The following is a 15,642-nucleotide window of genomic DNA, read 5'->3' on the forward strand; positions in this document are numbered from 1 at the left end:
TAGAAACCGTACTTGTGCAGGGGTCCGTAGTACTGGGCCACCACGTTGTAGGACCTGGTCCCACAGACATCGGTCAGCACCAGGGAATGGACATAATCCTTCAGGTCAGAGGCTGTGCATATGCCCCCAGGGAAGCACAGCTGGGGCAAAGCAAGGAGTTCCATGCCTCCTGGGACAGTGACATCTTCAGGATCTGGCACTCTGGGGACACTGGGAAGGCCATCTTCTGCTCTGGTTTTGGGCTTCTCTTTTTTCTTTCTGAAGGAGTGGCTTCTTGATTTTACCAAGAGTGGTGCCATTTGCACTGGCATTTGACTGTGTGTGTGTTTTTATTTCTTCAGTTTTTGAGACAGGGTCTTTCTCTGTTCCCCAGGCTGGAGTGCAGTGGCACAATCTCAGTTCACTGCTGCAGCCTCCACCTCTTGGGGTCAAGCAATCCTCCCGTCTCAGACGCTCAGCTAATTTTTAAATTTTTTGTAGAAACAGGGTCTTGCCAGATTACTGAGGCTCGTTTCAAACTCTTGAGTTCAAGCAATCCTTTCGCCTTGGCATCTCAAAATGTTGGGATCACCGATGTGAGCCACAGCACCTGACCCTGTCCTCTTTACTGATAAAAGGGGCCACAAAAACAGACAGGACCTCTGGATCAAGGGGAGAAATAGTTTTGACTCTTTTTCTGAGAAACCTGCTGGAGGCCTTGGAGGCTGTTCCCAGGGTGTCCAGCAGCATCCAGCGCTCCAGCAGCCCCCAGGATAGCAATAGGTGCTGGGGTACAGTCTCTTCCTCAGCTGCCCCATGGCCTACTGGGGTACCACCCTTGGGTGCCTCGGGCCATGGCTCCAACTATTATTATTTTTTTGAGATGGAGTCTCGCTCTGCCACCCAAGCTGGAGTACAGTAGAGTGATCTTGGCTCACTGCAACCTCCTCCTCCCCGGTTCAAGCAATTCTCCTGCCTCAGCTTCCCTAAGTAGTTGGGATTACAGGCGTGGCCATCACAACTGGCTAATTTTTGTATTCTTAGTAGAAATGGGGTTTCACCATGTTGGCTAGGTTGGTCTTGAACTCCTGACCTCAAGTGATCCACCCACCTTGGCCTCCCAAAGTGCTGGGATTACAGATGTGAGCCACTGCATCTGGCCACATTATAGTAAGTCTTTGAATCAGGTAAGTCCTCTGATTTCGTTATTTTTCAAGATTGTTTTATCTATTGTAGGTCCTTTCATTTTCATATACAGTTTAGAATCATCTTGTTAGTTTCTAAAAAAACGGCTTATTCAAATTATGATTGGGATTACATTCAATCCCAAATTTGGAGAGAATTCATATCTTAATATTTTGACTCTTCCAATCCTTGCACATGTTATTCCCATTTTAAAAGTTTCATTTCTATTATTTCAACAATGTTTGTAATTTTCAGTGTAAAGACCATACACATTTATTCCTAAGAATTATTTGTGTCCAATTGCAAACTTCTAAAATTGTATTTTATTGTGAATTGATGGTACATTGGAATATAATTAATTTTATTTATGAACTTTGAATCTTACAACACTGGGATTATTGACATAATTTCTATATTTGTTTTGTAGATTCCTTAAGGGTTTTGCACATACATATTATGTCATCTGCAAATAAATATTGTTTTATTTCTTTGTCTAATCTTTATGTCTATATTTTTTTTCTTACTGAATCACCTGGGCTAGATTTTCTAATGCAGAGATGAATAGAAATGATGATGACTGAAATCCTTGCCTTGCTCATGATTGTAGTAGGAAAGTGTTTATTATTTCATTATTGGGTATATTGTTAGGTACTGTGGGGCATTGGGATTTGTTAACCTGCAGGATAGAAGTAAGTTGTAGAAAATGTTTTAAAAATAACAATGCTGAATTAAAGTTACTTAGAGATTTTATTATCATAATACGAAAGAGATTCTAAACCAGGACAGTGTGATGGGCTGAACTGTGTCCCTCTGAAAAAAATACATTGAATCTCTAACTTCAACTTCCATGGAATATGACCATATTTGGATATAGGGCCTTTAAAGAGATGATTAAGTTAAAACAATGCCATTAGAGTGGACTGTAACCCAATGTGCCTGGTGTTCCTATAAAGGAGGAAATTTGGATGCAAACAGAGACACCAGGGGTGCACATGCACCTAGAAAAGGCCATTGTGGACACAAGCCAAGAATATGGCCTCAGAAGAATCAAATCTGCCTACACATTGATCTTGAACTTTAGCTTCCAGAGCTGTGAGAAAATAAATTCCTGTTGTTTAAGCTATCTAGTCTGTGGTTGTTTGTAAAGGAAGCCCTTGCAAACATATACAGCCTGTGATAAAATTCTCTTTTTAGAATGAAAGTTTTTTGCTGGTTTAGTTGCTAAAGAATTTCTGTGGTTAAACAGTCAAATTAGCACATTTCTATTACTTATCCTTTAATAAACAGTCTAGCAAACTGTTAATTTAACAAACTCCTAGTTATAGAGGAGGTCCCTAACGAACTAGACTCGGCTACATAGATTCATTTCAGTAATGAGCTTTAATGTTCAAGATTGTTTGAATTCACTTCAGCTATAATTAGTGTTTCCAAAGCCTGTGAGGTTACATATTTCTGGACTTAAACGGGGATTCAAAACAATGACAGCACAATTGTCGCAAAGTCAAACAAAATTTGAGTCACTTAAATGCCCTTATGTGACCTTTTATTTTATTTTTTCATGTTTAACCTTTTATTCGGACATTGAAAAAAAATTATTCATTCTCTATAGTCTCACCTTATCGTGGAAAATGCTGCAGAATTATGTTTATATAAAGTGAAAAGATTTTCCAGGTAAGATAGGGTGATCATTATATCATTATAGAGTAACTCCCTCATGAATATTAATATAACCATGCTTTAAAATCATTAATAGTTTTTATTTTTATTTTGAAAGGACATTTTTGTTGGTTATACAATTCTAGGTTGACAGTTTCACCCTTCAGTACTATAAAGAAATTGTTCTTTTTTTTTTCAGGCCTCCATAATTTCTATTGACTTCAATAATCATTTTTATCTGTTTTATGACATGCAACATTTTTTGTTCTCTGATTTTGAGATTTAATCTTTATTCTTGGATATCAGCAGTTTGACTACAATGTTTCTGACTGATTTGTTTATTCTGCTTAGTGTTTTACTGAATTTTAATATGTGGTTTGATATATTTTATCAATCTTGAAAAATTATTGGCCATTATCTCCTTGTGTGTTTCCTTTGCCTCATTTTCTATCTCCTCTCTTTCTGAGTCTGATTATACATAAGGTAGTTTATTTGATATTGTTCCACAGATACAGCATGTTTTGTTTTTCTACCGTTTCTTCTCCTTGTATTTCAGTTTAGATAATTTCTATTGACCCAATAAAAATTATCTGCTTTTTTTCCGTAATGTGCCAGACTACTGATAAGCCTCTTGAAAGATTTTCTCATCTCTAAAATCCCATTTTCATTTCTATCATTTCCAGTGGATTCTATTATACAGTTTCCATTTCTCTACTGAAATTCTCCATGTATTCATGCATATTGTCCACATTCACAATATATCCTTTAACATATTTATCATAACTCTAAAGACTGAGTCTGGTTCTATAATTTATTTCATCTCCTTTTGATTGGCCATATTGTTTTGATTCTTTTCATGACTTATTTTTAATTGTATAATGCATTATGCATTAAAAATCAGAAAAGACTTAAGTAAATGATTATGCCCAGAAATATACATAAATGAGCCCTTTTTGTTGGAGTGCTTGTGTGGAAAGTGGAATCCATCTAATTTGTAGCTAAGATGGGTTTAAGTTTTCTTGGTGTTTTAAGTAGATTTGTACACGGTTGTCTTTAAATAATATGAAGACATGCTGAAGACCTCTTCAGCAGAGTTTGAGATGAGAAAGCCTGGTGGTTCTATCCCAGTCTTATTTCCCTACCCTCAAAACTTCTACAGATGTAGTGTCTATGCCTTGGAAGGGGTCTCTTAGCTCTCCTGCCAGACACATGTATCTTCTATTATTCAATGGAGTTGCTTCTAAGCTTTTCCATCATATTTTCTCTGTCCTCCATCTTTAGTAAATATAAGTAAATTTTAGAAATGTGTTTGTATTCTAAGCAATTCAATGAGTTTAAAATATGATCTCATAGGCCAGACACAGTGACTCACACCCGTAATGCCAGCACTATGGGAGGCCAAGGTGGGTGGATCACGAGGTCAGGAGTTCAAGACCAGCCTGGCTAACATGGTGAAACTCCACAGCTGGGCATGATGGCAGATGCCTGTACTCCCAGCTACTCAGGAGGCTGAAGCTGGAGAATTGCTTGAACCTGGGAGGCGGAGGTTGCAGTGAGCTGAGATCACACCATTGCACTCCAGCCTGGGTGACAGAGAGAGACTCTGTCTCAAAAAAAAAAAAAATATATATATATATGTGTGTGTGTGTGTGTGTGTGTGTTACTTGCTAGATCTGGCTCTGTCTCTCTCTCTCTCTCTCTCTCTCTCTCTCTCTCTCTATATATATATATATATATATATATATATATGAATTTACAGTTATCAAGCCTGTTCTTAATGTTAGCCTAGGGACAAGTTTCTTTTGTGGCTTTCTGTGTTCTAAGTGGATATGAAAGTCTCAGTATAATTTTTTTTCATGAAAATAAATCCTTGATTTTAAACAGATTCATTTATCTTTATTTATCTTTTTAAATAACTACTTTATGATTAGTGTTTTGTGTTATGTTTAATAAATCTTTGTTTTGAGTACACAAAAATATTCATGTCTCTTTTTTCGTAAGAGCTTATTTACTAACAACAACTTTACTCAAATCTGAATTGCAGATGACCCTTGAACAATGTGGGGGTTAGGGGAACTGACTCCCCCATGCAGTAAAAATTGGTGTAATTTTTGACTCCCCAAAAACTTAACCACTAATAGCTTACTGTTGACTAGAAGGCTTCTCAATAACATGAACTGTTGATTAACACATAATTTATATGTTACATGTATTATGTGCTGTATTCTTGAACTAGAGAAAATATAATTAAAAATCATAAAAAATACATTTGTTACTTATTAAGTGGAAGTGGATCATCACAAATGTTTCATTTGCATTGTCTTCATGTTGAGTAGGCTGAGGAGGAGGGAGCAAAGGAGACAGCATTGAGGAGGGAGTAAAGGGAGCAAAGGAGACAGCATTGTTTCGCTGTCTCAGGGATGGCAGAGGCGGAAGAAAACGTGCATATAAGTGGATCCATGCAGTTGAAACCCATGTTGCTCAAGGGTCAACTATATACTTAAAATTTGAGAAGAAATGTGTCAGTTTGATGGTTTAGATATTTTGTGTTTAATGGAGGATGGAGCATCTTCCCCATGTATATATTTGTTGCTTTCATTGGATTTGTGGAAAGGAACAAACAATGCTTTTACTTTGCTTCTTTTAATCAGGATCTCTTTTATTGCTAAATATTTTTAAATTGTAATAATTCTTTAATAACTTTAGAATTATATATGACTATCAGTATTAATGAAGATATTAGCATCACTATTCTACTTTTCAGCAGCAAAAGAATTTAAAATAGAATATTGCACCCCAGTATAAATGTAGTCAGAAAGGAATAAAGTTTGAAAACTTAATACAACTATATGGCTCAAGGGACTTTATTGATTTTCCCTCTCGAATCAGTCAAATTCCAATTACACAGCTCATTCTGAAGTCATATAAAGCAATCCATCTGACTTTGGTGTTACTTGCCAGATCTGGCTATTAAAAGAAAAAATAAGTCATTAGGCTATTCAGAATATTAGTCCCAGTTAAAGACCAATTTCTGTTGGTGTATAGGCCTATGTAAAGCTATGTTTATAGGAGATTAATATTTTAGAGGGAAAATCTCTGTGGTAATTCATTTTAATCTTTTCCAGCATTTGGGAGATACAGTAAGTGACATGCACTAGATGTGATTTTTTTATGCTGTTTAAAGGTGATTGGTTTAAATATTATTTTCGGTAAATACACACGCGGGAGTGAAGAAAAAATATAAAGAACTAAATCCTTATAATCATAAAATAACTTAAAAATTTTTAGAAGTAATTTCTCCTTTGCTTCCTTGTTCTTATAATTAAATACAGTGACTTTTAGCTAAAGTCACATAATCTTTTAAAAGAAAACATTATATTGTGTCACAAAGGAAGAGAATATAGGGCAGTTTGTTTCTGCACTAATAAAATTAAATGTAGCATTTTTATACACAAAGACATGTTTTTATCTTTGACATTTGAATATCTCTCATGAGATTATATTAAAATTCTATCATCTAAATTGTTTATCAGTGAGAAATAATATTTACTCTTTCAACTAGCATTTATATAATGTGCTATTAGTACTAAGCTTTCCCAGAGAGACAGAACACATGACAAGGTATAATATAGTTGAAAATAAAACACACATGCACACACACACACAATTTTATATTGTATCAAAAACTTTAAATCAAGCTACTAATGCTTTCAGAATTCTAAGAGTACAAGACTAGTCAAAATTGAAAATTAGAAATTAATCTTTAATTTTCTAACTATTATCATAAAGGTTTATAGCAACTGAGTAGTCAGAGTGGTTTGAAAGTGACATGTTATGGTAGGCAGCTTCCAAAAGTGATCCTCAATGGTCACCTCTGGTATTCCCATCCCATTTTCTTGAGCGTGAGCCGGACCTACTGCTTTGCTTTTAAGAAGCAGAATAAGATAAAAATTATAAAATGTCACTACCATAATTCGTTTACAAAGAACTGATTTGATCTGGTTGGCATTCTCTATTTCTTCTCAGTTTGCACACTTTGACTAAAAAAAAAGAAGCATGCTCATGGTACCAAGGCACTGACAGTGGCATCTGGCCAAAAGCCAGTGTGCAATTAATGCTTTCACATCAACAGTTCATGAGGGACTGAATCCTATGAACAACCATGTGAGTGAGCCTGGAAGTAGAATCTTCTTCATCTGAGCCTTCAGCTAAGACTACAACCCTGGCAACATCTTGATTGTAGCACTATGAGAGACCCTGAGGCAGAGTATTCACTTAAACCATGCCCAAATTCTGGACCAACAGAAACTGAGGTAATAAGTGTTTGTTTTTCAAAGTCTTGGGTTATTAATTCATTGTGCAACACTTGATCACTAATACAGATGAAAAGAGCTGGAATTTAGACAAATGAGATAATGGGAATGCGCAGGATGAAGAACATTTTAGATCATGGAACAGTATGAACAAAGGCAAGGAAATAGAATAATCATTAGGCTAAAATGAGAGAGTGTGCCATGGAATACTGAGGAAGACAAACACAGATATAACAGAATTTTGCAAGCCAAGACTATGAGGACATATTAGGAATAATATAAATAGCAATAATAGATGACTTAGCTGATTGATATTATGTACTAATTTGTTAAGCATTTCATGAGCATTTCCTTATTTGATCCTTACACTACCTCTATGAGAAAAAGATATTTATTATTTTACTTATAGATGAGAAAACGGGGGCTCAGCTCATTTATTATGAGCAGTTTTCATCTGGAAAGATCATGAACACGGTGCTTTTTCTAGTACTGGCACAAATATCTTGGTTTTAATATCTGTTCAACTGTTTGAAAAACATTTTGATTATCTTAATACAGTTTTGTGATCATGTAAAGACCTCTTCCGTAAAATACTAGCTACTTATAATTATTAATGCTTTAATAATTAAGACACAAGCATTTAAGAGATTTTAAACTGACTCAGTTAGGTTGAATCAATAGGAATTAAGTAGTTGCTCACATTAATTTTCCATTAAGATGCTCTTTCTACTTCTATATATTTATCTCTAGGAAGCAGACATAATTTTTAAAAAGATAATATGTGGGGGGCATCTTATCAATTGGTTGTTTATCCATGAGTTTTCACCTTTCATTTGTCATAGTGACTCACTGACTGCCAAACAAAATTAATATTTTTTAATATGATAGAAACAAATGTTAAGAAGCAAATGTGTATGAAGGTTTATAAGAAAGCAGAGAGGAATAGTGTCTCTAGGCTTCCAATTTAGGAATTCCATGTCACGATGAGGGCAAAATTTAGGTTTTGAACTGTGAGAGAATTACAGACAGAAGAAACTTTTCTTTGCAAAATGTAAATTCAGAGTTTTGAGATTAGGGAAATAGAACTCTTCTAAGTGATAGAGTAAACAAATTGAGTTTATGGGTAGCTTAAACATAGGTAGATAAAAATAACTAATTGATTTGAACTGTAAGTTTAGGAATTAAGGTGTTTAAAATTTTATTTTTATTTTTTAAAAGCTGATAATAAAGTTGCTTTAAATTAAGGCTAAACGTGAATGTAGAGGAAGATTTTTTAAAAACTCAAATGCCAACAAGGGCATTCTCTGTCGAATTCATAAAACAAATCCTTACTATCATCTTCTTATCAATGCATATATAATGGTAACTTGACTCAAGAGAGTTGCTCAGAGTTTCAGAAATATAGAAGACATCTTATTACTGTAGAAGCTAGTTAGGATTAGCTTATGCATTATTCATGAAATGACAGGGACATTAAAAGGTAAGTTAAGTTGGATTATTTATCTTAGAGGTATTGGAAGGTAATCTTTTAAGACTATGAAATACTCAGCAATATCTTATCATTTTACTATGAACTGTTGCAAATACATTTTGTCTTCGTTATGGAGATAGACTTGCATGAGAAAAAAGAAGCTATGGAAAAAAAGAATGTTAAGTTTTCAAAGTAAAATGTCAACATTTTATTCAATCTTTTCATTATGAATATTGCACTTGTTTCCCAACGGTCACTCATTACTTTTCCATTCATGTAACTAATCAGTCAGTGTGAGAAATTGAAGAGATACATTTAAACTTTTCTTCACATGTGAAGAGAGCTGACAGTAGCAGTAATATTAAATAAAATCATGGGATTTAGAATAAATGTTTCATTGCTTTAAAGATGGCAGAGAGGTCCTGATTGTGCTCTGCCAAGTGAAAAATACAAGTAAAATTTCTACTCTTGAGAGCAGATTTATCTTGTGCAAGGCCTATACAAATCTGGAGGAATTTTATTTTTGCCTATTTCTGATAAGCTCAGTGCTGCAGTTTTGAAATTTGGTGACTGAGTTTTATTAGTGAAGATGTGTTGCACTGGCATCCTGTGAGAATTTTCTGTATACATACATATGCAGCACAGCATGATAAGGTTTATCCTGTACACAGGGGATGGCTCTTTTAGATTGGGACACTGGGTGTATCCTCCCGATGACTACAATCTTACTCTGGTAGTCAGCATTTAATACCAGGTGGTTTCCTAAGACACCTTTGGAAGAATCGCTAACTCTTTGCAAAATGGGGAGTGAGAATTGTTGAGTTGAGATTGTTTTCTCCAGGAATCTAAACTCCCATCTACCATGCCTAGCCCCTTAGGCAGGATAAAGCTTGTATTATAAAATGATTTTTTGTAAACTATGAGTTGGACACTGTACCATCCCAAGGTAGCATTTGGGGATTCCTTTCCCTATAGCCTTCTCAAGGGGTGGCTGTTTTCCCACTCACAATCCTCCCCGAACTGTTCCTAAAGGTAGGACAGGTACCATACTGCTTTTCCTTGCCACTTCCAGGCCACTCTTTCCCTCCTCTCCCAAACTCCCAGCACTGAGTATCTTGTCATTAGATTTTGCAATCTACTGTCCTAATTATGACTGCCATCTACTGATCCCAGGTTATTTTGCATTATTTTATACACTTTTAATTTCTGGATCATTGTCATTCTTTCCAGTACAACTTCAGGCTTAATTCTGGGTGACTTTGAAATACATGTAGAAGATTTTTCCAACCACCTTGCTGGTCAGTCTTTTCAATGCCTCTTCTCCAACTGTCCTTGTCTTGTCTTCTTCAGTCATGCATTCCTATGATCATATAGTAGACCTATGTCATTACTAATAACTGCAATCTGTTCACGGTCTAAATTTTATCCCTCCTCCTAAGTTTTCAATTTATTCCCTCTGTTATTCTGATCCTGATAATATTTTTACTCCAGTAAGACCTCTAATTCATTGGTTCTACAAGTTTTCTATTGTTCTTCAGCCCCTTCATGTTCTCTCTTCTTACTGAGCATACATCCCATGGGTAATAAATCTAACCACTCCCTTGCATTCTCCCGCAAGCCCATCGTCTTGTCTTACTCAACTGGCAAAACCACAGTCCTTGGCTACTCTGTGGCATCACTCATGTTGCTGATGGTGGCTGAAGAAAAACATGCAGATAAGTTGGGTATTCCCACTGTGAGACCCAAATGAGCTATGAATGCTGCCTGGCAGTCATAAGCCATTTCCCTAGGTTGTTGTTTTCTTTCCTAGATTGATATTTTCTACCTTCTGCCCTGACTTCAGACTCGAGTTCTCCTTCCTTTTATTTTCTCTCAACTGATTACTTTCTTCACATTTTCACTGAGAAAATTAAAGCAATGAGAAAAGAACTTACACAGATTGCCACCATCACACCTATTACTTCATAGCACCTGCAACCAGACGATCTGCTTCCATGCCTGGGATTGAAATGAATGGTTCCTATTGCCATCTAACACGGACTTTTCCAACTGTGGCAGTTTTTCTTTCTCTCTTTACTCACTTCTGTTGTTGTGCAAATATCGCCTTTGAAATAATACCTACAGAAATGGTGCTCTTTAAAACTCCAAATTGCCTCCCCATGCTGGCAACTGATCTTATTGGCTCTATTTTCATAGTATTTGTCACCTTCTAACACACTATGTAACTCACTCATTTATTATAATTATTTTTATAAAATATGTTCTCTTGCTAGAAAGCAAGCTCTCTTGAAGGCAGGGTATTTTATGTTTTATTCATTATTACATCTCAAATGTCTAGAACTGTGCCTGCAGGAGGTAGGCAGTAAATACTTTCCACTGAGTCAATAAAGTATGGTTCAAAATGATGTGAGCCATTCAAGATGGGAATCATTGTAATATAAGAACATATTGGTCATGTTGCTGATTTTTAAAAAAATCCTTCCTATCTTGCAGTTTTTCACCTAGTTTGGAAAATTTTTTAAAGTTATATTTTTATCTTTTGGGGGGTTATAAACAGGGTCTTGCTATATTTCTGGCTGTATATATTCTATGTAGTAGGCCTGCCTTGAACTCCTGGCCTCAGGTGATACTCCTGCCGTTGCCTCCCAAAGTGCTGAGATTACAAGTGTAAGCCAAGACTATTTCCAGCCAAAATTGGATTTCTTATGCATCCACTTTATATATAAAACACATAATCTACACTTATAAAAATTATTTGGTCAGAGACCTCTCCTATGACACACTTAAAGCATCCTTCAACAACCACCTAAGAGCAAACCACTTAAGAGCACCTGCATCCTTTGCTCCTGTACTTGACTCCCTCCATATTTTCTTTTCTTTTAGAATGTACTGTGTTTTAGAATAGTCTCACTATGTACTGGTCAGCATTTTATCCTTATCTATGTTATTCCAGGTTATTTGATGCAGAAATTGATGAGATATTCTAGGCTGACATGAGATTGTGTTTTATATACACCTAGATGATATACTAGACTGCTTACTCCAGTACTCCAGTACTTGGACACTAGAAAAACTGCTAGACTTCCCAAAGCTGTGATGTCCCCTTCACTCATTCAAAATTTATGATTCAACATCACTGAGGCTAGTGATGCTTTTTTCTTCTTGAACTATGTGACTAAATTTAGGGGAAATTTTATCCTTCTCACCATTTCCTTGAGTTTATAAAAACCAAAAATATTTTAAAAACCACATCATTATCTTGCCTGACACAGAAAAGCCTTTGATAAAATTTAACAATGCTTCATGTTAAAAACTCTCAATAAACTAGGTAATGATGGAACATACCTCAATATAATAAGAGCAATTTATGACAAATCCACAGCCAATATCATACTGAATGGGCAAAAGCTGGAAGAATTCCCTTTGAAAACCAGCACAAGACAAGGATTCCCTCTGTCACCACTCCTATTCAACACAGTATTGGAAGTTCTGGCCAGAGCAATCAGGCAAGAAAAAGATATAAAAGGTATTCAAATAGGAAGAGAGGAAGTCAAGTTGTCTCTGTTTGCCAATGACATGATTCTATATCTAGAAAACCCCACTACATCAGCCCAACAGCTTCTTAAGCTGATAAGCAACTTCAGCAAAGTCTCAGGATACAAAACCAATGTGAAAAAAATCACAAGCATTCCTATTCACCAACAATAGACAAGCAGAGAGCTAAATCATCAATGAACTCCCATTCACAATTGCTACAAAGAAAATAAAATACCTAGGGATACAGCTAAGAAGAGAAGTGAAGGACCTCTTTAAGGAGAACTACAAACCACATCTCAAGGAAATCAGAGGACACAAACAAATGGAAAAACATTTCATGCTCATGGATAGGAAGAATCAACATTGTGAAAATGGCCATACTGCCCAAAGTAATTAATGGATTCAATGGTATTCCCATTAAACTATCATTTATATCCTTCACAGAATTAGAAAAAAAAAACTACTTTAAAATTCATATGGAAGCAAGAAAGAGCCCGTAAAGCCAAGACAATCCTAAGCAAAAAAGAACAAAGCTGGAGGTATCATGCTACCTGACTTTAAACTATACTACAAGGCTACAATAGGCAAAATAGCATGGTACTGGTACAAAAACAGACACACAGAGCAATGGAGCAGAACAGAGACCTCAGAAAAAAGACCACACATCTACAACCATCTGATCTTCAACCAATCTGACAAAAACAATCAATGGGGAAAGGATTATCTATTTAATAAATGGTGCTGGGAGAACTGGCTAGCCATATTCAGAAAATTGAAACTAGACCATTTCTTTACACCTTGTACAAAAATTACCTCAAGATGAATTAAAGACTTAAATGTAAAATCCAAAACTATAAAAAGCCTAGAAGAAAATCTAGGCAATGCCATTCAGGACATAGGCATGGGGCAAAGATTTCATGACAGAAACATTAAAAACAATTGCAACAAAAGCAAAAATTGACAAATGGTATCTAATTAAAATAAAGAGCTTCTGCACAGCAAAATAAACTGTCATCAGAGTGAACAAACTACAGAATGTGAGAAAATTTTTTTTGCAATCTAGACATCTGATAAATGTCTAATATCCACAATCTACAAGGAACTTCAACAAATTTACAAGAAAAAAAAGAACCCCATTAAAAAGTGGGCAAAGGACATGAACAGACACTTCTGAAAAGAAGACATTTATGTGGCCAACAAACATATGAAAAAAAGCTCAACATCACTAATCATTAGATAAATGCAAATCAAAACCATAATGAGATACCATCTAATGCCAGTCAGAATGATTATTAAAAAGCTAAGAAACAACAGATGCTGGTGAGGCTGTGGAGAAATAGAATGCTCTTACACTGTTGGTGAGAGTGTAAATTAGTTCAACCATTGTGGAAGATGATGAGGCAATTCCTCAAAGACTTAGAATCAGAAATGACATTTGACCCAGCAATCCCATCACTGGGTACATACCCAAAGGAATATAAATCATTCTTTTATAAAGATACCTGCATGTGTATGTTCATTGCAGCATTATTGAGCAAAGACATGGAATTAACCCAAATGCCCATCAATGATAGACTGAATAAAGAAAATGTGGTACATACACACCATGGAATACTATGCATCCATAAAGGGGGATGAGATCATGTCCTTTGCAGGGACATGGATGGAGCTGGAAGCTATTATCCTCAGCAAACTAATGCAGAAACGGAAAACCAAACACTGCATGTTCTCACTTATAAGTGGGAGCTGAACAATGAGAACACATGGACACAGGGAGGGGAACAACACACACTGGGGCCTGTCAGAGGGTAGGGTTGGGGGAGCTATCAGGAAGAATAGCTAATGGATGCTGGGCTTAATACCTAGGTGATGTGTTGGTAGGTACAGCAAAGCGCCATGGCGCATGTTTACCTATGTAACAAAACCATCCTTCATTATCCCAGAACTTAAAAATAAGTGTCTTAATAAAATAGAATAGGTCTGATAATTAAAAATATTTTTAAGTGTTGCCATCACTATCTTTTTAACTTTTAAGATTCAGGAAGTACATTTGCAGGTTTGTTATATGAATATATAGCATGACACTCAGATTTGGGGTATGATTGATCTCATCACCTAGGAAGTGGTGATAGCACCCAATAGGTAACTTCAACACTTGTTCCCCTCCCTTTCTCCTCTTGTATTCTCCAGGGTCTGTTGTTCCATCATTATGTCCATGTGTGCCCAGTGTTTAGCTCTCACTTATAAGTAAAACATGTGGTACTTGGGTCTCCATTTCTGTTAGTTTGCTTAGGATAATGGCCTCCAACTGATTCCATGTTGCTGCAGATGACATGATTTCATTCTTTTTTATAGCTGCATAGTATTATTCCATGGTGTCTACATACCACATTTTTTTTTTAGTCTACCCACCATTGATGGGCATTTGGGTTGATTCCATCTTTTTGTTATTGTGAATAGTCCCTTCACATTTTCTTTTAGGAGAAAAGAGTTGATCTTAAAAGGCAGATTTATTCTTTCATAGATAAAAATTGTGTGCTGTTAGCCATATTCTTTAGATGAGCAATAACTTGTAGAATATATATTTTAAAATGTGTAGATGTTCTTGTTTTTAAACAAAGATTTGTTGATATACTTTAATTTCAGTCACTAAGTCCACGTTTTAGTTTAACCATAATTTTAAAAGGGCTATTTTATACTGCCATTTACAACACTTGCATATAACTTCTCTTATTCTTTCCTCATTCTCAGCTATGTAAAATGTTTTGCAGTTTTAAAAAGAGTGTCTTTAATAATATCCAGTATTACCTAATAAACACTTTATTATAATAATCAGAAAGATCATCTCTTAAAAAATATTCCTTAAGTCTATCATTTCATTCACTCAAATCAGTTCAAACTGTTGCCCCCCCACCATGGGTACATTTACTACCTAATAGTGTTTTCCAAAGTACTATTAATATTTTCTGATTATGCAGCAGAAATCTACAATGTCCCTGGAGTCACCAAACCTGCCTTAATTGATGTGTGCGCAAGGTAAGCTAAAATCAGACACGCATTTATCACAGCTGAAGTATTTTCTTCTATTTTAGGCTGAAGTGTGCGGGAGAGGACAAGTGCCGCTCCAACTCCCTCACATTTGCAGGCAGTCTGCATGCGTGGGAGTCTCCATCACTCACAAGGTCACGGAATCAGGAGAAAAAGGGACCAGAGCCGTGTGTGCCCGCTCCAGCTTCCCTACCCTCGCTTCTCGTCAGTGTTCTTTCCTCTCTTCTGGTCACAGAGTGCCACCAACTGTCCCCCTGATGGCTTCCTGGATTTCTGTGAACTGATCTAAGCCTCACTTTCACTTTGTTCTACGGAGGGCTTTTTCAGTCGATCTCCTCTGATTCTTCCCTGCTCACCTCCTCACCAGAAAAAAACATAAGTGACGGGTGAGAGAATGGTAATAAAATATTCTTTTCTGTCTTTTTCAAAGGCAAGGTAGTAGATTCACAAGGT

At 36.0% G+C, this 15,642-nt stretch overlaps 1 annotated feature.

The window, feature by feature from the left end:
- Positions 15,159–15,468: an enhancer, noted in NCBI's record as "active region_22149". NCBI's record gives its function as "activates an Ori minimal core promoter by ATAC-STARR-seq in GM12878 lymphoblastoid cells {active_cell/tissue: GM12878}" and the evidence as "EXISTENCE:reporter gene assay evidence [ECO:0000049][PMID:35858748]".

This window comes from Homo sapiens, chromosome 4 (assembly GCF_000001405.40).
Source record: "Homo sapiens chromosome 4, GRCh38.p14 Primary Assembly".
NCBI classification, from domain to species: Eukaryota; Metazoa; Chordata; class Mammalia; order Primates; family Hominidae; genus Homo; species Homo sapiens.